Consider the following 25,181-nt stretch of genomic DNA (forward strand, 5'->3'; position numbering starts at 1 on the left):
CCAAAATCTGGCAGTTCATGGTTACTACTATCCATTCTGCTCCTAAAAGCATCCAGCATTTGCTTTCTTCTGCAACACCACTTCTTTAGGCCAAGCTACCATCCTCTATGACCTGTAGTAAAGCAAAGTCACCATTCTTCTTCTTCTTCTCCTCTTTCTCTTTCTCTTCCTTTTTTCTTCTTTTTCTTCTCCTCCTCCTTTTTCTCCTACCCCTTCTCCTTTTTTCCCTTCTTTTTCTTTAAAGCAATGTCCTTCTAACTGAAGGCTTTTCAACCCTGGATATACATTTAAGATGCCTGCAGATGGCCGGGCGCAGTGGCTCACACCTGTAATCCCAATACTTTGGGAGGCCGAGGCAGGCGGATCACGAGGTCAGGAGATCGAGACCATCCTGGCTAACACGGTGAAACCCCGTCTCTACTAAAAATACACACACACAAAAATTAGCTGGGCGTGGTGGCTGGTGCCTGTAGTCCCAGCTACTCAGGATGCTGAGGCAGGAAAATGGCGTGAACCCGGGAGGCGGAGCTTGCAGTGAGTCGAGATCGCGCCACTGCACTCCAACCTGGGCGACAGAGCGAGACTCCGTCTCAAAAAAAAAAAAAAATGCCTGCAGAACTTTAAAAAATTACCAATACCCAAGGTTTATCCCAAACCAAGTAAAGCAGAGTCTCTGGGAGCGGGCTCCAATCACCCTTATTACAAGCTCCCCAGGTAATTCTAATTTGCTGCTTAGATTACGAATCACTGCTCTAATCGGCCTCAACACATCCATTCTCGCTCCACTCCATTTTCCATGCAACAGCCAGAGGGGTCTTCTTCATAAGGCAAATTTCATTGCATCCCTCCCCTTGCTCTTAGAATAAAGCTCAAAGCCTTCTGGCCCTCCAGCATCCCCCGCTGCCTGCCTCCTGGAAGTCTGGCTGCTCTATGGAATCTGAACTACTTTCAGATACTCTGGACTCTGTGTCCCTTCTACATCAGGCCCATCCACGTGCTGTTTTCTCTTACTGGAATGCCTTGCCTGACTAATCCCACTCATCCCTCAGGAGGCAGCTCATCTATCTCCTCCTCAGGCATAACTCTCCTGATCCTCAGATCAAACGGGCTCCTCTCACCCCATTCATGCTTCTATAGCTCCTTCTTCTTCCCCTCCACAGGCATGGGACTATTGTCAATATACAATTACCTATGTGATTTTTGTTTGTTTAATTTCCCTTTTCCACTAGAAAGAGGTAAGAATTATGTTTGCCTTGTTCTTTTCTGCATTCCTGCAACCTAACCTAACCCAATTACCTGGAACGTAGTAGGTATTTAACAACATTTTATGGAATGAGAATGAACACACACACATTCCTCCAACCCCACAGCGTGGCATATTTTTCCTTCTTCTTGGAATGCACCAACCCTGTCTACAGCCTCTCCGTGTTTCCCCTTGTCAAACTCCTACTTATCCTTCATGACCTAGTTTAAAAAGCTCTTCTCCACAATTCCTTCCTGGCTCTCTCAGGCAGAGCTCATCTCTCCTCCTCTGGGAGCTGATAGTATGCCTCCTCTCTTGGTATTTTAGTTACTTGTTTGTGAACTGCCTTCCTGCTGCTGCTGGACTTCATGATCATCCTTCTTCTAGAGTTCATAACTTATTTACTGGACGAATGCACAAAAAAATGAATCAATGGGGATCCCATCACTCTCAAGTCAAGCTGTTTTCCTGGGGGAGCTGGACCCTGCTTTTAAGCTCCAATATGGAACCACCAAATTGTTCAAAGGCCAGCAGGCCAGACATTGGGGATCTCATTGTAACTCTGAAGTATTAGACATACATACGATTGCCCCACAACACACGAGCTAAACTCTTGGGTCACACACAAAGTCCTTGTGCTGCACCCCTCAGGCTGACCAGAGCTTTTTTTTTTACTGGGCCTCTGAAAACAGGTCTGGAGGAGTTTTTTGATGCAGGCTGTTGGGTGGGCTTCTAGAGTGGGGAAGGCCATGGGACTCTTTGCTCCAGGGGCAGTGCGGGGACAGAAAGGAATGCAGCCTCAGCCCTGGACACCCTCCCCATCACTGTCAAGTCGAGCTGTTTTCCTGGGGGAGCCTGACCCTGGTTTTAGGCTCCAATATGGAACCACCAAATTGTTCAAAGGCCAGCAGGCCTTCATTCCAGACTAAGGGTAGTGGGAGAGACCAAGGCCAGAATGGAATAAGGAGAAGGGTCTGCTGCAGGGCCAAGGCCATGTGGAAGAGATGCTTCATGGCAGGCTCCAGCTGCCCCCAGACAGGAGCTCTTGGCATTTTCCATACCTGATTCTAGCTGACCGCTAACCCAGCTGGCAGCTTTCTCCTTCCCCAGCTGCTCAGCCTGAGGAGGGGCCTACACCCTCAGACTTGCCCTATACATCAGCAGGTCCCGGCTGCAGCAGCTGGGCAGGAGGCCTACCGCATTGGTTCACGTCTGCTGACCAAGTGGAGAGAAGCAGAAGCAGACCTGGGCAGGGCAGGAGGAAGCCATCTGGGGAAATGCAGCTGAGGGCCCGCTCCCCGAGCCCCACCCTGCCTGCCCTCAGGCCCAGTTTCTCTTTCCTTGACCAAATCCACTTCCTGAGTGACATAGGTGGAATGGGGTGGGAGAGAGACAGCCTTTGGAAAAAGACCACCTGCCATGTGTTAGATGCAGTGCCAGGGGATGACCAAGAAACACCTCTTCCAGGTGACAGAGATGGAGCAAGGTTGACATCATGGATGATAATAGTAATATAGTGGCTGACGTGTTGACCTTTCGTAAGTAGCAGGCCAAGAACTTTACAGAAATTGTCCCGTTGGGAAACCTAGCTCTATCACTGAAAGAAATTAAATTCCTGTTCATTGTCCCTACACATCTTCACATGTTTGCAGAGAGCCGGCTGCATGCACTACAGGTGAGATGCCTCTCATGGGCCACCCAGTCCCACTCTGGGACCCTTGGCTGCTGGTTGTGCTCCAGCCGTGTCTGAGTGATCAACTCAGCAGCAGCTCAGGCAGCTCCCAGGGGGCATGACCTGACAAAGCTCTCAGGTCACACCTACACTGCACACCTCTCCTTCCTGCCTTGGGGCTACCTGCAGTCTCCGAAGTATGAGACGCCACTGATGGACCTCATATGCAGAGCCCTGAAGGGTGAGGTCAGCAAAGCTTTGACCAATGGCAGACAGGAGATAGTGGACACATTCTGTCCCATTCCTCCCCACTGGCCAGGCTGTCCTAAGGCCCAGAGGTTCATACAGCCTCTTAGAAGACAGTCCTGCAATCACAAGCAATCGGCTTATCCAGTGTAAATGGTGCCTACCTGGTAACACACACTCATAAGGGCTCTCCCAGCTTCCTGCCCCACTCCACTCTTCCTTTGCTTTTACTTCCCAAGCATTGCACACCCTAATAAGGCAGTAGCGTACCAGCTTGTGCCTCAGGGTACCCAGGCTAAGACAGGCGAGTGGAGAAACAGATATGGAAACAGATATGAATGCACATTATTTACGTGAAGGGGAAAAATAAAGATTGCTGGTGAACTCCAGGCTGAAGATGATGAGTTCTGTTCTGTGATAAGAGTGAGCTGTGATTTGTAGGGCACTAACCTTGCAGCTGCCTGGAGGGTGGAAGTGAGAAAATGGAGGCTCGAGACAGACAGTCTGGTTGGTGGCTGTGGCACTGTAGTCTGGGTGGAGCTGGGGCTACTCAGGCACTCTTGGGGTACTTGCCCAGGGGCCCGGTGGGGTAATTGCTCCTTTCTGGAAGAAACAGTGGGAGAAGGAAAGAAATAAGGCCCCCACCTAGGAGCCTCATTCATCTTTGACTTATATACCCCGGCCCCAGTTACATCTGGGAGGGTGTCCCTGGTCCCCTCCAGCCACCATCAGTCACCTAAATGGAGAGTTCTAGGTTTCGTCAGGTGTGGGGGGCTTTAGAACAGCTTCTCTGATGTAGGACTCTGGAATCCAGTTCTGGAGAAACATTGCCTAAAATGACTAAACGTTTCAAAATGCCACTCTAGGTCTGTGGCTCTTTGTATCCCAACATGGACCGTTCTAGCTCTTGTGTTCCTTCCCAGAGCAAGGACTTCCCATGGGGCCACCTGATAGCCTGGGCCCAGTGGAGCTTCCTTGGTCCAAGCCTCCCCCGTCAGCCTGGACTTCAACCCTCAGGTGCTTGGCTGCCTACCTCCCCATGGCTCTGACTCTACTCATGCACTCCCCAGCAAGGGCCAGGGAAGCTCCCTCACAATCATGGTGGCCCTCCTTGACACAAAAGTCGCTGGCAGCCATGGCAGAAAGTTCCAGGGAGGTCGATTTTGGCTCTGCGTGTGTGGCTAAGCTTTGGTGAGAGAAGGACTGATTTCATTTGAATGACGTAGACAGAATGACACTCCATCAGGCCTGAGGTCACACCCAGGACATGAGGAAAATCGACACCCCCGGATGACCCAGCACTTCCTAGCATTCTGCCCCGAACAGGATTTCTAAAGGGTTTGATGAATACAAAATAATACCAACGCACCAGCCTTCTCATGCTCAGCAGTCACCTCCCCGCCTGGCTTGGGAGCCGTGCTGACCTTTCCCAGTCGTTCTATTCACAGCACTCCCTGTGGGCACTTCCTAGCAACCGGTCCTTCCCTGACACGAAAACAAAACCAGACCTTCACCAGGATGCCTTGTCTACTCCACCTTCTCCATCATTTGCCCCCACAGGACTGGCTCGCAGTGGGTGTTGTGGACTGCCGTGCCCCACTGTGCAGCAGTTCTGAGAAGGAGACTCTGCCTCCATTACAAGAAATGATGTGGGAGGGACACTGCTGGCGTCTTTCTCTGCCCCTTCCCTCCAAACTGCCTGCCTTCCTATGACTCCTCATTGTAGGAGGAGAGGCTTTTCTGATTAGTGTGACCATAGCATCTTTTCCTATCCTTTTAATTTTAACCTATTTGTGTCCTCATATTTCAATTTGGTTTTTTTGTTTCTTTGTTTGTTTTTTGAGACATAGTCTCGCTCTGCCACCCAGACTGGAGTGCAGTGGCACAATCTCAGCTTGCTGCAACCTCCGCCTCCTGGGTTCAAGCGATTCTCCTGCCTTAACCTCTAGAGTAGCTGAGATTACAGGCGCCCAGAACCATGATCGGCTAATTTTTGTATTTTTGGTAGAAATGGGGTTTCACCATGTTGGCCGGGCTGGTCCCAAACTCCTGACCTCATGTGATCCATCCACCTTGGCCTTCCCAAGTGCTGGGATTACAGGCATGAGCCTCTGTGCCTGGCCTCAATTTGTTTTTTGACGGACAGAATATAGAGCTTGCCTTTTTAAAAAAACTCCAATCTGACAATCTCTGCCTTTTAAATGGGATATTTACACCATTTGAAGGTAATGTGATTATCGATATGATTATTATTAAACTTACTATCTTGCGCTTTGTTTGCCATTTGTCTCATCTGTTTTTGTTACCTGTTTTTTTCATCTTCATCCTCTTTTGAGGTAAATTATTTTTTATAATTCTATTTTATCTCTTTTATTGGCTTATTAGTTATATCTGTTTGTCTTGTGTTTGGGATGTTTGCTTTAGCGTATATAGTATACATCTTCAGTTTATCACAATTCATCTTCAAAATATAGGATGGCAATTCATTTACAACACAAGAACCTTACAGTATACTTGCATTTACACCCTCCCTTCCTGGCCTTTGTGTTATTCTTGCTAGCCATTTTACTTGTGCATATAAACCTCACAATACATTGTTATTATTTTTGTTTTTAATGATCAATTGCCTTTTAAAGACATGTTAAAAATAAATTTGTTTTTAATATTTACCACATATTTATTATTTACAGTCTTTTCATTCTTTTATGTAGAACAAAACTTCTATTTGATTTCATTTTCTTTCTGTCCAAAGATTCTCCTTTAACTTTCTTTAGGATTAGTGACCAATTCTTTTAACTTTTGTATGTCTAAAATAATTAGTTCACCTTTTTTTGCAAGATATTTTGCTGTATATAGAGTTCTAGGTTCACGGTGTTGTCTTTCAGTTCATTAAAGAAGTTGGTCAACTGTCTTTTGGATTGCATTGTTTCCAACAATAAGTCTGCTGTTATTTTCTTTGTTCTTCATGCCCGTGTCCTGGCTGTTTTTAAGGTTTTCCTCCTTATCTCTGTTCTTAAGCAATTTGATTATGTACACTGGTGTTGTTTTCTTCATGTTTCTTGTGCTTAGGGCCCATCGAGCTTCCTAAATATTTTTATCAAATTAGAAAAAAGCATTCAGCTATTATTTCTTTTTTTTTTTTTTTTGAGAAAGAGTCTCGCTCTGTCTCCCAGGCTGGAGTACAGTGGCACTATCTCAGCTCACTGCAAGCTCTGCGTCTCGGGTTCACAACATTCCCCTGCCTCAGCCTCCCAGGTAGCTGGGACCACAGGCACCCACCATCACGCCCGGCTAATTTTTTGTATTTTTAGTAGAGACGGGGTTTTACTGTGTTAGCCAGGATGGTCTCGATCTCCTGACCTCGTGATCCGCCCACCTCAGCCTCCTAAAGTGCTGGGATTACAGGCATGATCCACTGCGCCCGGCCTTATTATTTCTTCCTTCTATCTCTCTATTCTTTTTGTGGGGACTGCAAAAAGAATTATTATATGTTATTGTATATAAGCTATATGTTATATTATCTTGCTTGAAGTTGTTCTGCAGCTCACTGATGCTGTTTACTGTTTTTCTTCAGTCTGCAGTGTCCAATTCATTCTTATTCCCATCTAGTGTGTTTTTCCATCTCAGACATTAGAGGTTCTTGTTTGTTTGTTTTAATCTCTACAAGTTTGATTTAGGTCTTCTCCTTTAAATATCTACCACCATCTCTTTAATATGCTCATGCATTCCTCTGTCTTCTCCATAAATATATGGAGTATATTTACCTCATTTAAAATACTGTTCTTGTCTATTCACCTGTGTCATTTCTGTATCTATTTCTATTGATTGATTTTTCTCCTCTTTATATTGTTTTCCTAGTTCTTTGACGCCTGATAATTTTTTATTGGATGCCAGATTAGTGCTGAATGCTAGGTTTCTTCTTTAAATGCTTTTGAGTTTTATTCTGGGACTCAATTAAGCTACTTGGAAACAACTTGATTTTTCAAGACTTGCCTTCAAGCTTTTTACCTGGGTCAAAGCAACTTTTAATCTAGGGCCAATTTTTCCCATTACTGGTCCAGGCAGCGAGGTGCCATCAATGATTTTTAAGCAAGACAGAGACATGATAGAATTTGCATTTAAGAAAACCACTCTGGCAGCATGAAGAAGATAGAGGGAAGAGATGGGAAGGACAGAGAGAGACCTAAGGCAGAGCTCACTGTTTATTCAGCCCAGGTAGTGAAGAAGGCAGGAGCTCAGGCTGCAGCCACTGTGGGGGTCTGAAATATCAGGATTGGAATCAATGGTGCTTGATGTGGGTAAAGTAAAATGGAGAAGGGTGAGTCTGAAATAAGCTGAGGTTTCCTCATTTCTGGGGGTTTCAGAGGAAATGAGATCCCACAGGAAGCCATTAACAGGGTTGCCAGGAGTTTCTAATCCCCCTTTTGTGAGTCTCTCTTTCATTACCAGGGGGCTGATGGCAGGAAGAAGAAAAGTCAGGACCACATAACCTAGCACTGCCCCTTTGGGTATCTGTGGGCCTTTTTCTCTGCTAGCTCAAAAGAATGTCAGTGTCCAAGACCCTGAGTATTGGTGATTTCTCCTGCTTATGACATCACAGACTACCTTCTGTTCAAGGAAAAAATTTCTCTCTGTAAGTGTACCATCTGGTGTCTGGTAGAGCTTGGCAAATTAGAGTCTTTTATAGCACTGTGTTTTTATAATGTGACATGAGGCCTCAAAATTACATTAATATCTCCAGTGCTGCAATTATATTAGTCCAGGGTCAAGTCCGTCTCTCTAATGAAACAGTGTTGATGAAGAATTTCATTCATAAAATGTTGAAATGGCCTCCCCAGCTCTCACTGAGCTAGCCAGAGAAATTTCCTCTAGGCCCATAGAGACTATGTTTAGTCTCAATCTGTGACCCATCTTCCATCTCCATTTTCAGAAGAAAGTGTTCCTTCATAAGCTAGGTATCATTTCCCCTTTTCTTTGATGCACCAACATGTTTTCTAGCAGGAGATCCAAGAACGTTCATCAAGTGTACGTTGAAACCATGAAACCTTTAGGTTTAAAGTGCACTTTGTCCACACCAGGGTAAAGAAAGAGTTAAGTTTAAAAAAAAAAAAAAAACCAAAAAGGAAAGTTTGACAAGTGAGACTCATTCACTTCCTCTCTCTCTAGCTCTCCTGGTTGTGAATTTGACCAAGAGTAAACTTAAGTGTCTTCAATTAACCCTTCCAAGTAAAAGAGTGCCTCCCCTGCTTCCAAGGGCCCAGGAAAGCCGTGAACTTGGGTTACTTGCAGGGGCTGTTGTTTCCCTTGGAATAAAAAATGTTTGAGGCTCAAACCTGACAGCCGAAGAAAAAGGGAATTATGAACATAATATCACAGTTTATACACTTAGCAAGTTTTGAGAGTGTTCTCTCATTTCCTCTATTTTCTGTGTGTCTTTCACACATGCATGCACACTGAAATAAGCCAGCCTAAATATATTGGCAAAGTCACACTCAGGGTGTGTTGTAGTTCTTAATTGAAGCCATTAGAAAACAAAAAACCAAAACATTCACTGACGACAACAGAGCTCCTCCTCAGGATTAAACTCTCCTCTGTTTTAAAAGGAAAAAAATCTGAAGCAAAGGGTTAAATTATTTGCACAATTAATGTCCTACAAATCATCTGAAAAAAATGCGAGCCCTAAGTCTGCCTTCCAAAGCTGGGAAAATGCTAACTATGGTCTCTGTCTCCAAACAGGCAGCTTTTAAATGATCCTAAATACCAAAACATGCCCAGGCTCTATTTCTTCAGTGCTGAAGCTGAAATTTACAACATAACCAACCTCAAAACATTTGGTTTCCAGCAGTGCCTGGATATGTCCAAGCCTGATTTTGCACAAGTCTAGGGTAAAAGAACAGAGGAATCCAGGAGAAGCAATAAATTGGGTGGACTAGGGAGGGGGTAAGAGAGGTAATTGGTGAGGATAGAAGAGGCATGAAGTCTAACAAAATTCAAATGGTAGCCTAAAAAAAAGTCTCCTAAAGGGTTAGAAAGAGACACTATAGTATTAAAAGTTATTTTTCAGAAAAAGAATAAAATTATGATTCACATACAAATATAAAAATGTACACGTTGAAGAATTTATTTACTCCTGATACCAAGAAACCAGGCAATAGTTCAAAGGAAAAGTCAAAAACACACAAATTCTTACTGAGTGAAGGAATGTAGAGATGAATTGCAAATGGAGATTAAATTGCTTTTTTTCCCAAAAGGGGAGGAAGTCAATTAAATCACTATCAGACAAGACATAATTTACATATCTATCGGTTACTTCCAATTTACAGAGCCTTGCAAAATAGCTCAAAGACAATGCATAGTAGAATCTGATAGCCCTGACAGCTTTGCTGTAGACAATGCATAGGTTTACACTGAAACACCATTTTTCTTTTTTTTGAGTCAGAGTCTCGCTCTGTCGCCCAGGCTGGAGTGCGGTGGCACCATCTCAGCTCACTGCAACTCTGCCTCCCGGGTTCAGGCGATTCTCCTGCCTCAGCCTCCCAAGTAGCTGGGACTACAGGTGTGCACCACCACACCCAGCTAAGTACGCCCAGCTAATGTTTGTACTTTTAGTAGAGACGGGATTCACCATGTTGGCCAGGCTGATCTCGAACTCCTGACCTCAAGTGATCCACCTGCCTCGGCCTCCCAAAGTGCTGGGATTACAGGCATGAGCCACGGCGCCCAGCCACACAAAATTTTTTCTACAGCATTTGTAAAATGTTAAGGGGAAGTTCTTGGGCGGGGTGGGGTGCATGAGCCCTCCCATAGAGGACAATGTCATGGAGAGGTTAAAACCCTTGAAGAGGCAAGGTAGAGGGTATTGTCAAGGATGTCCAAAGCAAGCGTTGGCCAGATAGCAGCACACAGCCTAGTAATTTTATTATCTATTAAATTTGGTCACTTCACACACACCTTAGCACAATGTAGGATCAGAATATGAAAGTTAGGGTCACTGAGCTGTTCTTAAAGTTTGTGATCCTAGTGGCCATCACTAGGTGGGCTGCAAAAGATCCAAGACTCACCCCCATCCATACATGCAAATGTTATGTGTGTGCCTAATGAAACTGCATTTTTCTGGGGATGGTTCTAGAATGTTCATGACATAGATGTCCTATGCCTCTACATTATACAAAATACACATCTAAATCTAGTCATAATGAACATAATTGAAATCTGGCTACCTTCATAGAATTTTTAAAGGGCTTTTTTTGGAAGGAAACATTTTAATTGCTCACATCACTTCAATTAAAAGAAAAAAAGGCTAAGAAATGTGAACAGTGCATTCCTTTTCCCTGGATAAATCACCCTGCAACAAGTGCAGGCATTCCAAATCATTCCCTTTTCCTTCTAAAGTGAACCATCGAGGCATCCAAGAGTTGAAAGGCTAACAGAGGCCTTCAGTAGTGCCAATGTGAGGACCAGGAATATGGCTCAATCCCTGAATTTCTTGTGTTTCTCTTTCTACTCCCTCTCCCTCTCTCACCCCATCCCACTCCAGCAACACAGATATCACTGGGGGCCTTATGAGAGTTGGAGTGGGTAGAAAGAAAGTCCTCCTTCCTCTCAGCTAACTAGCAAGGGAGGCCAACACGACTGAATGGAAATCAGACCTAAGGCTCTTTTTTAGGACTTCAGCTGTTCCAAGTCACTTCTGCCTCCCAGCTGTTGTGATCATCTGGGGCTGGTCGTGGAGCCCCAGCTGTAAAAACTAAGTCAATGAATAAGTGCATAAAATTGACAAAGGGTGAGACCTGAGACTGAACCACAGGTCTTATAGTCAAGAAGTGCATCTGTTCCTCACCAAATATCATCAGATCAGCCCAAAGCTCTGTGTGAGGTCAGACCTGGAGCTTGGCATTTAAGATAAGGGCTAATCTACAAACCACAGGCAGCTCCCATCTGACACAGGCAAGCCGGGGTCAGGGCCAACCAGGAACCAAACCTGGGGTAGTAGGTGTTCCTTGAGGCAGAGGGAGAAAGGATGGAAGGGACTGACAAATATGTTCTGAGTGCTCCTCTTCTCGGGGGACACACTATGTGTACCCCACTACAAGGCCACTATCTGCTTTAGGAACAAACTTGGCATTAAATATACCCACCATTACAATAACATACAGAATGTCTCTCAAAACCTATATGTAGAATGTACAACACAAGGCCAGGCATGTTGGCTCACACCTGTAATCCCAGCACTTTGGGAGGCCGAAGTGGGCAGATCACCTGAGGTCAGGAGTTCGAGACTAGCCTGGCCAATATGGCAAAACCCTGTTTCTACTAAAAATACAAAAATTAGCTAGGTGTGGTGGTGGGTGCCTCTAATCCAAGTTACTTGGGAGGCTGAGGTAGGGGAATTGCTTGAACCTGGGAGGTGGACTTTGCAGTGAGCCAAGATCGTGCCACTGCACTCCAGCCTGGGAGACAGAGCGAGACTCCATCTCAACAAACAAACAAACAAACAAACAAACAAACAAACAGTACAACACAAAGAGTGAGCCCTAATGTAAATACAGACTTCAGTTAATAAAAATGTGTCCATATTGGTTTATCAATTGTAACAAACTCAAATGAACCATACTCATCCAAGGGGTTAATAATAAGGGAAACTAGTGGGGAGGAGGGATATGGCTATTGATACTTTCTTCTCAATTTTTGTTTGTTTGTTTTTTTTTTGAGATGGAGTCTTGCTCTATCGCCCAGGCTGGAGTGCAGTGGCATGATCTCGGCTCACTGCAACCTCTGCCTCCCGGGTTCAAGCAATTCTCCTGTCTCAGCCTCCCCAGTAGCTGGGACTACAGGCACCTGTCCCCACTCCCAGCTAGTTTTTGTATTTTTAGTAGAGACGGGGTTTAACCATATCGGTCAGGCTGGTCTCGAACTCCTGACCTCAGGTGATCCACCCGCCTCAGCCTCCCAAAGTGCTGGGATTACAGGCGTGAGCCACCACGCCCAGCATCTTCTCAATTTTTCATAAACCTAAAACTGCTCTTGAAAAATAGTCTATTAATTAAAATTAAAAAGTAAATCTCAGGCCAGGTGGCTTACAACTGAAATCCCAGCACTTTGGGAGGCTGAGGTGGACAGATCACTTGAGCACAAGAGTTCAAGACCAGCCTGGGCAATACAGTGAGACCCTGTCTCTACAAAAAAATGCAACAAACTAGCTGGGCGTGGTGGTGTGCACTTGTAGTCCCAGCTACTCAGGAGACTAAGGTGGGAAGATCACCAGAGCTCGGGAGATTGAGGCTGCAGTGAGCCATGACTTCACCACTGCACTCCAGCCTGGGTGACAAAGTGAGAAGCTGTCTCAAAAAAAAAAAAAAGGTACACCTAGCGTCTTCTCAGAGCCTCTGGATTGGGTACTTAGTGGCTGCTACCACCAAGTGAGACAGTGGGGACAGAGAAAGAGCAAAGTTTGAGGGAAGAGGATAGTAAAGGGAACATTGGGCCAGGTGTGGTGGCTCACACCTGTAATCCTAACACTTTGGGAGGCTGAGAGGGGGCGGATCACTTGAGGTCAGGAGCTCAGTTCAAGACCAGCCTGGCCAACATGGCGAAACTTCATCTCTACTAAAAATACAAAAATTAGGCAGGGCACGGTTGCTCACACCTATAATCCCAGCACTTTGAGAGGCCGAGGTGGGCAGATTGCCTGAGGTTAGTTCTCCCATCCTGGCCAACATGGTGAAACCCCATCTCTACTAAAAATACAAAAATTAGCCAGGCATGGTGGCAGGCGCCTGTAATCCCAGCTACTTGGGAGGCTAAGGCAGGAGAATCGCTTGAACCCAGGAGGTGGAGGTTGCTGTGAGCCGAGATCATACCATTGCACTCCAGCCTGGGTGACAGGAGTGAGACTCCACGTCAAAAAAAAAAAAAAAAAAAAAAAATTAGCCCAGCATGGTGGCGCATGCCTGCAATCCCAGCTACTCAGAAGGCTGAGGCACAAGAATCACTTGAACCTGGGAAGCAGAGATTGCAATGAGCCGAGATCCCGCCACTGCACTACAGCCTGGGCAACAGATTGAGACTTCATCTCAAAGGAGGTTTGGCCATGGTGAATCCAGGGAGTGTAAAGGACACATAGATAGATATATCTTCTAGACAGAGGACAGAAGAGTCAGAATTTGGGCTGCAAATACATGATGGGAGTCATCAACATATAAACCCATTGAACACCATATATGGATGAGAGTTTTCTCTTCAGCAGCTGTGAGGAGTTGGGATGACCACACGCAGTGCCTCCTTCCTTGTTCGTGAGCACTCAGTGCAGGGCAACTGACAGCAATTAGGACGGGGAGACACGAAGCCTCCCCCCGCCGCAGGAATTGCTACTGCAGATCTTCCCTTCTTGTGGAACACTGTGGTCTCTGTGGGTGAGGGAGATGCTCTGATTCATCGTCCACAGGGCTGTAGTATTTTGATGCTGTAGTCCAATAACTGTATTTTCTGTCCATATTAGGCCGAGAGTAGGGGCGTCCTCCAGGGTTGTATAAACCATCAGTAGCCAATTCATTTGCACCTGCTACATTATCCACTGATGACTTCAATCAGCTAAGGCAGCCAAGCAACAAGAGGCACTACGTGGGCAAAACGTTGAGTCATCCGCATATCTGCCCTCTGAACACACGAAAATATCCCCACTGTGCATCCTGAGTAACATTTGTGCCAGGTTCCCAGGCAAACTTCCTCCTGAGCTTCCTCCTCCACTCTTCCCTGCTCCAGGCACTGAGCCCTACCCACTCTCAGCCTCTCAGGCTTAAGGGCCGAATCATCCACTCTCAGAGCTTAAAGGAAAAAAAAGAGGAAGGAAGCAGTGAGACTTGATTTGTAACAGCCCTAACTATGGAGCTGGAAGATCTGGGTTCAGATGGCAGCCTGGGTTCCCTAGTTGCATAGTAGATCTCATCTTTCTGAGCTTACACTTCTTCAGCCGTAAAATGGAGATGATAATATTAACTGCTGCTGCTGATCTTTTGACAATTGAGATAATGTATTTTTCAAGGGCCTACCATATACTAAGAGCTAACATTTTTGAGTGTTTACATTTTATCGGATACTCTTCCAAACCATTTACACATTTGTTAACTCATTTCATCTTTATAACACCCTACGATAATCCCAAGGCACAATTATCTTTATTTTATAAGTGAAGAAACTAAGCCACAATGAAGTTAAGTAAATTGTTCAAGGCCCCAGAACTAGAAAGTGGTAGAACCACAATTTTCCGCCACTCAAAAGTGGGCTGACCCTCTTCGTATTTACATCAGGGGTTCTCAGAATGTGGTCTTCAGGCCAGCAGCAGCAGCAGCGGCAGCAGTAGAAACTTGTTAGAAATGATCTCAGGACCCACCCAGAGCTACAGACAGAAATTCCAGGGGCGGGCAATGGCAAACTGGGTTGACAAGCCCCCCAGTTGATTGTGATTTTCAGCCAAGTTTGATAACCTCTGGCCTACACTTTTCCTTCTACCTCCATGGCAGATGACAATTGAACAAATTAGACCCCTTTTCCTCCCAACACCCACTATGTATTAGGCACTTTGTGTGTTATTGTCATTTAATTCTCATAAGAAACTTTTTTTATTTTTATTTTTTATTGAGACATGGTCTCACTCTGTTGCCCAGGCTGGTCTCGAAACCCTGGGCTCAAGCAATCCTCTCCCCTTGGCCTCCCAAAGTGCTGGGATTACAGGTGTAAGCCACCATGCCCAACCAAGCAAGAAACTTTAGAGATTGGTTTTCTCACCCCCATTCTATAGATAGGAGACCTGGACAAGGGGAGGAAGGTGTGGGCCCTTGTACAGGCCATACAGCTAGTAATGTCCCACTCCAATGTCGCACTCCCCGGCTCCTACAACACAAGGCATTCCTCAATGCTGGCTGTGTCCTGTCATCCCCAGATCCCTGCCTCACTCCCTCACTCCATTCCCCAGCAGGGACCCTGGGCCTCTGCAGGCCTCGAACCACCGCTCCTGGCTATGAGGTCCGTCCTGGTTCTAGGGCTGTAACCCCAAGTCAGCTTTATCCAAGCTGCTCTGTGATCTTCTGTTCTAGGGCAAGCACTAGAGATGACTCCCATGACCAAGCCTTCACCCCATAGCCCCTCCGGCCCCAGGGGACCAATCTGGTGTCCCTTTAGTTTGGGCCATCTCATGAGTTCTCCAGCCCCTTAGTGCCTTGAGCTTGGTTTTTTGGGGTCAATCCCTTCAAGTTGTGGAGAAATGCCCCTGGGCCCCAGACCCCAGCAGGGTCCCCATGTCTCCTTCCCGACCATACATCCCTGCCAGTGTTAGGAATAACGCTCAAAATCCTAAGGAAATTGAACACTTGAACAAAGGATTCTTAGCAAAGAAATTTTACTTCTGCGCAGAGGGGTGCCTCCTTGGCCAGTCGCCATGAAAGCACACCTGTAGGAAGGGGCACAAGAGCCTTTATTCCTGATGCAAGTCCTGCCCCTATACCCTTTCCCTATTGGCCAGGGTCAGGTCGTACAATCTAAACTAATCCCGGTTGGCTAAACATTTGATTTTTTTAGATAAGGTGGGCACATAAAAGAAAGTGGAGGGGAAGGGGGAGGGGTGTCTGTAGTGAGCTAAAAAGTGAGTCCTCTTTCCAAATAAGGAAAGGAGTGTGAGCTGGTACTGATAACGCCTGGTACTGTGGCGTGCCTGGGCATCTAACAAAGGCAAAAAGGGGAAAAGGAGAAAAGGCAGGGGCGTGGGGGGTACTATGAATTAAAGAATAAAAGATTGATGAGATTATTTGAAGAGAAAGCTCATCATATCCCAAACCAGTTTCCTACTTCTGGTCACCCAGCCCCATCACTCTTCACAGTCAACACTTACTGTCACTTTTGCTACTCCCCAACCCCGACAGTGATTCCCACCTATTCTCTGACTCCCTTAGGACATTAGGTGCCTGAAACCCTGTCCCTGAGACCATCATTATCTCAAACCCCCCTCTGTCTTCTAGAAAGGATCCCTTTGCCCAAGAGTTAAGGCAGGTTTCCTCTGGGCCTCAGAAGATGCTGCCATGTCATGAGCTCAACCAGAGGCTTCACTGACTGGGGAAACAGACTGGAGGAGCACGCCTGCCTGCCTCTGGGAGCCCCCGGCCCACCCTGCAGGGCTTGAAGAGGTCTTTTCACCCAGGCCCTTCCCTTTCACCCACTGTGCTCCTGGCCTTGGTCCTCTCTGCAGTGGGACTTTAGCAGTGGCCCCCTTAGGAGCCTCCAACGTGATACTCACACATTCTTTGTGGATCCAGAGTCAAGGCTGGGTCTGGATACAGGAAGGTCAGGGCCTCCAGGATGTGTGCTGAAGCACTCTGTTAGGTGGCCTGAGGGCCAACCCAGAATGAAATTTATCAGGACCATCTTGCAGCTTTTAGCAGATATCGGGGTCATTGCCTACCACACTGTGGAAAGACAGGAGGGAGGCTCTTAAATTACCCCCTCTGATGTTCCTGGAGAGGGAGGTAAGGAAGGAACATGCTCTTTGCCCAAAGCCATGTGAGTTAGAACCCAGACTCTGTGGGTTCTAACTCTGAACACCCTGTCTCCACTAAGTCTTGTCTGGGAGCTGGAGCACCCAGGTGAAGCCAGGGCATTTCCAAGGGGGAAGCTTGGCTGCCTGCCCATGAACTTGGGCCTGTGGCTCCTGTAGCCTGGAGGCAGGGTGGGATGGGGAAGGGCACAGGCTCTGGGGGCACAGAGACTTGAGTTAGAAGCCTGATTTAGCCCTTTTCCTAGCTGTGGGAATTGGGCAAGCCATGCAATCCCCCAGGTCACCATTATGCCACCTGGATATAGGGGAGAAACATCTGTTTTATAACATTGTTTAGAGGACTCAAAATATTTCGTGTGTACAGTATTTCATGTGTGTACTGTGGCTCACACACTCACCTCCCTGTATTTCGTGTGTACAGTATTAAATGTATGTACTGTGGCTCACACACCTGCCTATATTTTGTGTGTACAGTATTTCAAGTGTGTACTGTGGCTCACACACTCACTCCCTGTATTTCATGTGTACAGTATTTCATGTGTGTACCATTGCTCACACACTCATCTCTCTGCATTTCGTGTGTACAGTATTTCATGTATGTACTGTGGCTCACACACCTTCCTGTATTTTGTGTGTACAGTATTTCATGTGTGTACTGTGGCTCACACTCTCACCTGCCTGTATTTTGTGTGTACAGTATTTCATGTATGTACCACTGCTCACACACTCACCTCCTTGTATTTCATGTGTACAGTATTTCATGTGCGTACCATTGCTGACACACTCACCTCCCTGTACTTCATGTGTACAGTATTTCACGTGTGTACCACTGCTCACACACTCACCTCCTTGTATTTTATGTGTACAGTATTTCATGTGTGTACTGTGGCTTACACACTCACCTCCCTGTATTTTATGTGTACAGTACTTTGTGTTGTATACTGTTGCTTACACGCTCACCTCCCTTGCCCTTCATCTCCCCACTCTTGCTCATATATTCCCCTCTTTACTCCACCCCTATCCCCATTTGTGTTGATTCTAATCACTGGAGAAAGAGCAGAGCTCACAGCAGAACAGTCCTGACAGCAAGTAGGAGAACTTGAGCCATGTCAAGAGGGTCTGTTTCATCTGTTGGAAAGGTTAGGCCAAATGCAACCCCTACAGTGGGTGGCCAGGCAGTCTGGGTACCAGACCCAGGGCAAGGCTGCTGCTACCCATCTCCCCTGCTGCTTGGTGCAGCGTTCCAGGGCCCAAGCATTGACCTCCATACAGGCCACGCAGCCCAGGCCCCGGGTGACTGGGAAGCTGCAGTGGGAGGTGGCAGCTTCCTGCAGTGAGAGGGTCAAGATGGGAAGTTACAAACTCACAGGTGGGGGAAACTCAGTATTCAGAAGAATTACCTGCTGGAATGGGAGCTCTCTGAGATCAAAACTTTTCTTTGCGCCTGTACCTAGAGAAATGCCCATAGTAAGGGCCCATAAATAGCTCTTAAATTAATAAATGAATGAACAATTCATTCCTTCTTCAAAGTGTCCAGTGGATCCACTAATGGGTAGTTAGGAGACTTAGATAAGTTAATGATACAAAAGTATTTTGTCAGCTTTTTGTGTTTTTAACTTACATAAAATAGAAGTCACTTTGGATGTAGAGTCCTCTCTGAGTTTTAATACAAGCACAGATTCATGTAACCACCACTACTAACAAGATAAAGAACAATTCCTATATCACAAAGCATTTCCTCATGCTATGCCTTTGCATTCAGGCCCTTCCTTCATCCCAAGCTCTGTGCAACCACTGATCTATTTTCTGTTCCTGTAATTTTGCCATTTTCAGAATGCCATATAAATGGAATTACACAGTATGTAACCTTTCGAAACTGGCTTCTTTCACTTAGAGTTTAAAGAAAGGGGAAGGAGGATGGAAGCAGTGAGCTCTGATTTGTGACAGGCCTTTCATTTAGCATCATGCATTTGAGAGTCATTTAAGTCGTTGTATGAATAGTTTTTTCCTCTTTACTGCACAGTAGTTTCCATTGTATGAACGTCCCACAGTTCGTTTATCCGCTCATCCAATGAGGGACATTTGGGTTGTTTTCACATGTTGGAGCTTATGAGTAGTGCCGCTATGCATATTGGTGTAGTTTTTGGTAGGAGAATGTTTTCATTTCTCCGGTAGAAATACCTAGAAGTGGGATTGCTGTGTTGTATGGTAAATAGATTCTACTTTATAAGAAATAATCAAACTATTTTCCAGTGTGGCTGTACCATTTTGTATTCCCACCACCAATGTATGAGAGTTCCAGTTTCTTCACATCCTTGTGAGCATTTGGTATTGTCAGTATTTTTAGCCAACCTAATAGGCATGAGATGGTATCTCATTCTGGTTTTAATTTGCATTTCCTTTTTTTTTTTTTTTTTTTGAGACGGAGTTTCGCTCTTGTTGCCCAGGCTGGAGTGCAATGGCACGATCTCGGCTCACTGCAACCTCTGCCTCCCGGGTTCAAGTGATTCTCCTGCCTCAGCCCCCTGAGTAGCTGGGATTACAGGCACGCACCACTACGCCTGGCTAATTTTGTATTTTTAGTAGAGACGAGGTTTCTTTATGTTAGTCAGGCTGGTCTCGAACTCCCAACCTCAGGTGATCCGCCCACCTCGGCCTCCCAAAGTGCTGGGATTACAGGCGTGAGCCACCACGCCCGGCCAATTCGCATTTCCTTAATCACTAATGAGCATCTTTTCATGTATTCGTTTGCCATTTCTATATCTTAATTGGTGAAGCATCTTTTCAAATCTTGCCTAGTTTTTAAAAATTGGTTGTTTCTGATCTTACTTTTACGAGTTCTTTTTATAGTCTAGATGTCTGTTGTCTGATATGTGATCTGCAAGTATTTCCCCCCAGTTTGCAGCTTTTCTTCTCATTCTCTTTAAAATGTCTTTCACAAGAGTAAAGGTGTTTAATTTTGATAAAGTCCAATTTATTGTTTTTCTTTTATAGAGCATGGTTTGGTTGTCGTATCTAAGAACTCTTTGTTTAAGTCAAGATTACAACGATTTTCTCCTGTTTTCTTCTAAGAGTTTTATAGTTACATACTTTACATCTAGGTCCATGATCTATTTTTAATTCACTTTTCTATAACGTGAGGCACAGGTCAAGGGTAATTGTTTTTGCATAGGATATCAAATTTCTCCAACATCATTTATTAAAAAGACTGTCCTTTTTCCATTGAATTCCCTTTATATATCTTTGCCAAAAATCAATTGACCATATTTGTGTGTGTCTATTTCTAGACTCTTTATTCTGTCTATCCTTTCACCAATACCACACTGTTTGCATGACTGTAGCTTGATAGTATCAGGTAGTGTGAGTCTCCAAATTTGTTCTTTCCCAAAATTGCCTTGGCTTTACCTTCTCATATAAGTGTTAGAATTCACTTGCCTGTATCCACAAAGAATCCTGCTGTGCCTTGGCTTGGGATTGTGTTACATCTACAGTTCAATTTGCGGAGAATTGGTATCTTAACTTCAAGAAGGATTCCAATCCATAAACATGCTACCCTGGGGAAGCCAGGTGACACTAACGCCTGCCTGGGGGTGGGAGGCCCTCCCGGCCCCAGCCCAGCTCTGCCAAAAACAGCTGAGTGAGCTTGGGAAAGTTACTTTCCCTCTCTGGCCCTCAATGTCCTCAGCTGTGAAATAGAAAGGTCGGTTAGTTAAACAGAAAGATTACCTTTCAGCTCAGAAGTTCTGGGATTCCCAGTGTAACCTTGAAATGACCTGCTAGGAACAGGAGAGATATTATCAGGTCTCTCCTCAGGGCCTGTCTGATGAGATGGTTCAACAGAGCCACATACAGGAAAAGCCAAATTCACAGCAAACAGCTCAACATGAAAGCCCTGCTGAGTCCAGAGCCCCTGAGTGCAGCCAGCTGAGGGCCTTGCTCTTATTCCTGGGGCACCACAGGCCTTATAAGAAGTCTCCCAATGACAGTCTGAGATAATAGCCTGTCTGTGACAGAACAGCAGACATTGGCCTCTGTTATTCCCAGCCCAGGGAAGTAGTGTGAAGAATAGGCCTTTCTGGGAATGCAGGAGAGAAAATGTTCCCTCCCTCATCCCATCCCATCTCCTCATGTCCAGGCAAAGGAGAGAAAAACCAGGTGGCCCAGCAGCACTATTAATAGTGTTCAAACATTGGAGGCAACCCAAATACCCAACAATTAGGGAATGCTTAAACAAAGGATGGTATGTTGGGACCCTGGAATCCGGCGCAGCTATTAACAATGACAAGTATGTGGATTATGCACTGAAGTGTGTAATAGATAAAATAATGTCAAATAAAAAATGTTGAGAACCAAATAGCACTTGCATATCATTACAGTGATGCTAACATGTTTAGAAATTCCATTGACAAGATTTGGAAAGAAATCGGTTGTAATGCAAACAGAGTTTGTGATTTATAATCTGAGCATAATTGAGCCACTGCTCCATTGAAGTTCTGTGTTAAGTGCTTTGGGGATTCAGAGAAGCCGATGGCTCAAGGCTTGTCCTGGGACGACCTTGCAGCATAGCTGGGGACACATCACCAAACATAAGACTAGGAGGCGAACTCTGACTGAAGGCTGCTTTCACAATTATTCTGTCTGAAGATTCCTAGCTGAGGTATCAAGAGTCTAGGATGGAAGAGCTTTTACAAAACAGTCCTCCCAGGCTTCTTGTTGACAAGGGAGGCAGTTGCTAAGGCACATAATAAAACAAAGCTGGGGGCCGGCTGGAACCCCACCATGGCTGAGGCCCCCGCCTAGGGTAATTCCCTTGGACTTTCAAAGCTCCTGGGACCGTGTGATGGGCCTCAGCACCACGAACCCCCCTAAAGGCTGAGTGTCCCCAGGTGTGACTTCTGAAGTTTCCCAGCCTCCCACCAGCTCTTTGACTTCTGGAGCTCCTGGCCCTCCACCTTGGGGAGCCAGGCAGCTGGAGTAGAGATTCTCTGGGTCTGCTGTCAGGAGGGTACCCGCAAGCCAGAGTGAGCCACTGTGGGCAAGGCTGTCTGGACCCAGGCACCCTGGATGCTGACCCAGGCTCCACTTGCTTGCTGGTGGTCCCAGGCAGGGCACTTAATCCCCTGGGCCTCAGTTTGCATATATGTAGAAGGATCGCAGTGCATTACAAAGCGCCCTACGTTCACTAACGCATCAGCTCTTGTTAGGTTTGTTTACTGATGAAGAAACAAGTTCAGGGAGCCTCCGTGACTAATCCCGGGCCAGAGGCACTTCTTAAGGACACACAGTGGTCAATAGCTATTGGGTTTCTCCAGAGTCCAGTGTTCACTCTCAAAGCTGACCCAGCCCCAGCCTGGCCTCTGGGACCAAGGAAGGTGGTGAGGCTAAGGCCTTAGACACAGCTGAGTGACCATGCGGGAGTTCGAGGAAATTCTGTTTATTTAATAATACAGGCTGGCTTCTCTTGATTCAGAGAGCGTGGGGGCTCCTGGGTGGGAGGCTGAAAAGCCAGGCTCATTGTGTCATAATTGCATCACCCCCTTGTTGGCAATTAATTAGTTAATTACTGTGGGAGAGGCAGAACCAGGGCAGAAATGCCAACTCTAGGCTGGAAAAAGCATTTAAGCCGAGTAACTCTCATTTCCTGTGATATCAGACCTCATCTCCTGGGAGGAGGGTGTGGGGAGATGGGCTCCCAGGAGACCCCGGGTCCTAGGGCAACTGCACACCAGCCAATTTCCAGGACGGGAAGGCAGGAGAACAGACCTGAGTGTCCCCCAGAATGGCAGTGTCCAACCCCACAGGAGTTGGTAGCTGGGGTTTGGGTAACACCTAACTAGGTTAGTTGATTTTTGCTACTCTCCTCCCCGACCTGGGCTGAAGGAAGATCCTGCCTGCCGCCTGCTCCTCTCCCACCCTGTCCTCCTGGCATCTCCTGGTTCTCGGTACTTCATGACTGGAATCTCCAGAGGCAAAACATTCTATCTTCAAACTTCTTTGGGTGACTGGCAGGGTGAATGGTGGTCACAAGAAACTGAAGGCCGAGACCTCAATCAATTCCTTGGGTTTTTAAAGAAATAGTTATCTTGGAGGGAGAAATGATCTCATGAATGTTTTGAGACCCTTCTGTCTGTGCCCACGCCCCTCTACAACAAACAGATAAAGCAGCTGAATTTCTCTCTCCACCCCTCAGTCACGGCCTCACTCTGCTGCCTTCCATGCCCTAATAGAGATAGGTGACCAAATAATTTATCATCCAACCCAGGCAGCTTTGAAGAGCAAGAGGAGACAGTGCCCTTCCTCACTAAGCTGAGGCAACAGACATACACCACGACTGTCCCTGGAAAATGGGGATGAAGGGTTGCCTTCCCTAAGGAGGAAGTTCAAACTGGTTAGCACAGCACACGGGACCCCTCAAGGCCGGCCTCACTGCAGCCTCATCTCCGCACGGACCAGCCCTGCCCTCCACCCTCCAGGCCCCAGGTTTCTTTCCGCTCCTGCCCACTCTCTCGCCTCAGCACCTGTGCATGAGCTGTTCCCTTGTCCAGCCCACACTCCCACCCGATCCCTCCCAGCTGACTCCAACTCACTCCAGCTACCAGCTTGAACAGCACTTCTTCCAGGAAGCATTTCTCACGTCTGGGTTAGACGCTCCTCTTGGTGTATCCATGTCTGCCTGACTGCCCCTTATCACAGACTGGTTCCCTCTTTTGGAGTGCCGGCTCGATGTCTCAGGTCAGCACTGGACAGTAGCTCCATCGGCACGGAGGACGGGCCGTCTTGACCACCTTGTGTTCCCAGAGCCTGGTGCTGACCAGGTGCTGTTGAATGAATGAATCGCTTTTCCACAACTTGCACCCAAAAATGTTCATTCTCACCGAGGTGGGGTATTTTCAGGTGAGAGGTGACAAAACCCATCTAGCATAAGCTAAAGGGATAGTATTCTCATGATGGATTTTGAATGTCAGTAACCCGTTTGGAAATCACCCCCATGTAAGTGGTGGCAAATTCCACTTAAAATGCACCCTGGTCTGGTTGAAGGTCCTGGTGGAAAAATTGGCCCAGTATTTTCGACATGGATGCACCTGCTTGTGCTTGTCTTATCACGTATGAACTCTCTAGTCTCTGGGAATCCAAAGGGAATTAGCCTCACACTTGGAAAATTTTATTTTAAAATACTGACCTTTCGTTTCAAGAATAATAATGACATTTTGATGCTATTTATAGTTTGCCAACTGTTTTCATGTACATTAACTTATCTGTCCTCATAAAAACCCAGTGCAGGAAATGAGACAAACCATTTTGCAGATGAAGAGCCCAAAGCCCAGAAGGGTCAAGGGGTTTGTGCGAACCTCACAGCCGGCACGTGACAAAGTCTGGAAGCACATCTTGGTGGTCCTGCTCCAGACCCTGAGCGCCAGAGCTCTCTCCCCCATCTCCCCTTGTCACCACAAACAATGGAACCTGTGACCATTGTTCTTCCCAGCAACAAAGGGCTGCTGGCTAGGTACGGATGATGGCTTTTAGATAAAATATTGTTGATTGATTACTGTGATGGTTGTTTTTTTGTTTTGTTTTCTTTGTTTGTTTTTTGAGACAGAGTCTTGCTCTGTCGCCCAGGCTGGGGTGCAGTGGTGCCATCTTGGCTCACGGCAAGCTCCGCCTCCAGGGTTTACGCCATTCTCCTGCCTCAGCCTCCTGAGTAGCTGGGACTACAGGCGCCCACCACCAAGCCCGCCTAGTTTTTTGTATTTTTAATAGAAACGGTTTCACCGTGTTAGCCAGGATGGTCTCGATCTCCTGACCTCGTGATCTGCCTGCCTCAGCCTCCCAAAGTGCTGGGATTACAGGCGTGAGCCACCGCGCCCGGCTGTGATGGTTAGTTTTACACTTCAACTTGACTGGGCTCAGGGATGCCCAGAGAGCTGGTAAAACATGATTTTTGCATGTATCCATGAGGGTGTTTCCCGAAGAGATTAGCATTGAATCAGTAGACTGTCCAGATGCCTGTAATCCCAGCACTTTGGGAGGCTGAGGCAGGAGAATTACTTGAGGTCAGGAGTTTGAGACCAGCCTGGCCAACATGGTAAAACCCGGTCTCTACTAAAAATACAAAAATTAGCCGGATGTGGTGGCACACGCCTGTAGTCTCAGCTACTAGGGAGGCTAAGGCTGGAGAATCACTTGAACCCAGGAGGCGGAGGTTGCAGTGAGCCAAGATCACACCACTGCACTCCAGCCTGGGCAACAGAATGAGACTCTGTCTCAAAAAAAAAAAAAAAAAAAGAACCAGTAGAACTAGTAGAGTAGATCACTCTTACTAATGTGGGTGAAAGTCATCCAATCTTTGAGGCCCCCAATAGAACAAAAAGGCAGAGAAGGGGTGAATTCTCTCTCTCTCTCTCTCTCTCTCTCTCTCTCTCTCTCTCTCTCTCTCTCCCCTTGAGCTGGGACATCTATTTTCTCCTGCCCTCAGACAT

The 25,181-nt window shown here is 46.4% G+C and overlaps 1 long non-coding RNA gene across 1 annotated transcript, besides 9 other annotated features; it reads right to left on the reverse strand.

The window, feature by feature from the left end:
* Positions 8,267-8,316: an enhancer, noted in NCBI's record as "active region_15535". NCBI's record gives its function as "activates an Ori minimal core promoter by ATAC-STARR-seq in GM12878 lymphoblastoid cells {active_cell/tissue: GM12878}" and the evidence as "EXISTENCE:reporter gene assay evidence [ECO:0000049][PMID:35858748]".
* Positions 9,208-9,716: an enhancer, noted in NCBI's record as "NANOG hESC enhancer chr2:30511920-30512428 (GRCh37/hg19 assembly coordinates)". NCBI's record gives its function as "activates a minimal SCP1, AML or CMV promoter by ChIP-STARR-seq in naive H9 embryonic stem cells {active_cell/tissue: H9 hESC(naive)}" and the evidence as "EXISTENCE:reporter gene assay evidence [ECO:0000049][PMID:30033119]".
* On the reverse strand, positions 13,189-20,850 carry LOC102723594 (uncharacterized). The gene is made up of 3 exons (XR_427017.4): positions 20,431-20,850; positions 16,447-16,615; positions 13,189-13,984 (listed from the first exon to the last, which is right to left on the reverse strand). It is a non-coding gene; the product is annotated as an uncharacterized LOC102723594 (long non-coding RNA).
* Positions 13,700-13,759: an enhancer, noted in NCBI's record as "active region_15536". NCBI's record gives its function as "activates an Ori minimal core promoter by ATAC-STARR-seq in GM12878 lymphoblastoid cells {active_cell/tissue: GM12878}" and the evidence as "EXISTENCE:reporter gene assay evidence [ECO:0000049][PMID:35858748]".
* Positions 13,930-13,979: an enhancer, noted in NCBI's record as "active region_15537". NCBI's record gives its function as "activates an Ori minimal core promoter by ATAC-STARR-seq in GM12878 lymphoblastoid cells {active_cell/tissue: GM12878}" and the evidence as "EXISTENCE:reporter gene assay evidence [ECO:0000049][PMID:35858748]".
* Positions 14,473-14,643: a silencer, noted in NCBI's record as "fragment chr2:30517185-30517355 (GRCh37/hg19 assembly coordinates)". NCBI's record gives its function as "represses an EF-1alpha promoter that drives an FKBP-Casp9 reporter gene in an ReSE screen in phorbol 12-myristate 13-acetate-treated (for megakaryocytic differentiation) K562 erythroleukemia cells {active_cell/tissue: K562(+PMA)}" and the evidence as "EXISTENCE:reporter gene assay evidence [ECO:0000049][PMID:32094911]".
* Positions 21,033-21,715: an enhancer, noted in NCBI's record as "OCT4-NANOG-H3K27ac-H3K4me1 hESC enhancer chr2:30523745-30524427 (GRCh37/hg19 assembly coordinates)". NCBI's record gives its function as "activates a minimal SCP1, AML or CMV promoter by ChIP-STARR-seq in primed H9 embryonic stem cells {active_cell/tissue: H9 hESC(primed)}" and the evidence as "EXISTENCE:reporter gene assay evidence [ECO:0000049][PMID:30033119]".
* Positions 21,716-22,397: an enhancer, noted in NCBI's record as "OCT4-NANOG-H3K27ac-H3K4me1 hESC enhancer chr2:30524428-30525109 (GRCh37/hg19 assembly coordinates)". NCBI's record gives its function as "activates a minimal SCP1, AML or CMV promoter by ChIP-STARR-seq in primed H9 embryonic stem cells {active_cell/tissue: H9 hESC(primed)}" and the evidence as "EXISTENCE:reporter gene assay evidence [ECO:0000049][PMID:30033119]".
* Positions 22,398-23,080: an enhancer, noted in NCBI's record as "H3K27ac-H3K4me1 hESC enhancer chr2:30525110-30525792 (GRCh37/hg19 assembly coordinates)". NCBI's record gives its function as "activates a minimal SCP1, AML or CMV promoter by ChIP-STARR-seq in primed H9 embryonic stem cells {active_cell/tissue: H9 hESC(primed)}" and the evidence as "EXISTENCE:reporter gene assay evidence [ECO:0000049][PMID:30033119]".
* Positions 23,081-23,761: an enhancer, noted in NCBI's record as "H3K4me1 hESC enhancer chr2:30525793-30526473 (GRCh37/hg19 assembly coordinates)". NCBI's record gives its function as "activates a minimal SCP1, AML or CMV promoter by ChIP-STARR-seq in naive and primed H9 embryonic stem cells {active_cell/tissue: H9 hESC(naive and primed)}" and the evidence as "EXISTENCE:reporter gene assay evidence [ECO:0000049][PMID:30033119]".

This window comes from Homo sapiens, chromosome 2 (assembly GCF_000001405.40).
Source record: "Homo sapiens chromosome 2, GRCh38.p14 Primary Assembly".
NCBI lineage: Eukaryota > Metazoa > Chordata > Mammalia > Primates > Hominidae > Homo > Homo sapiens.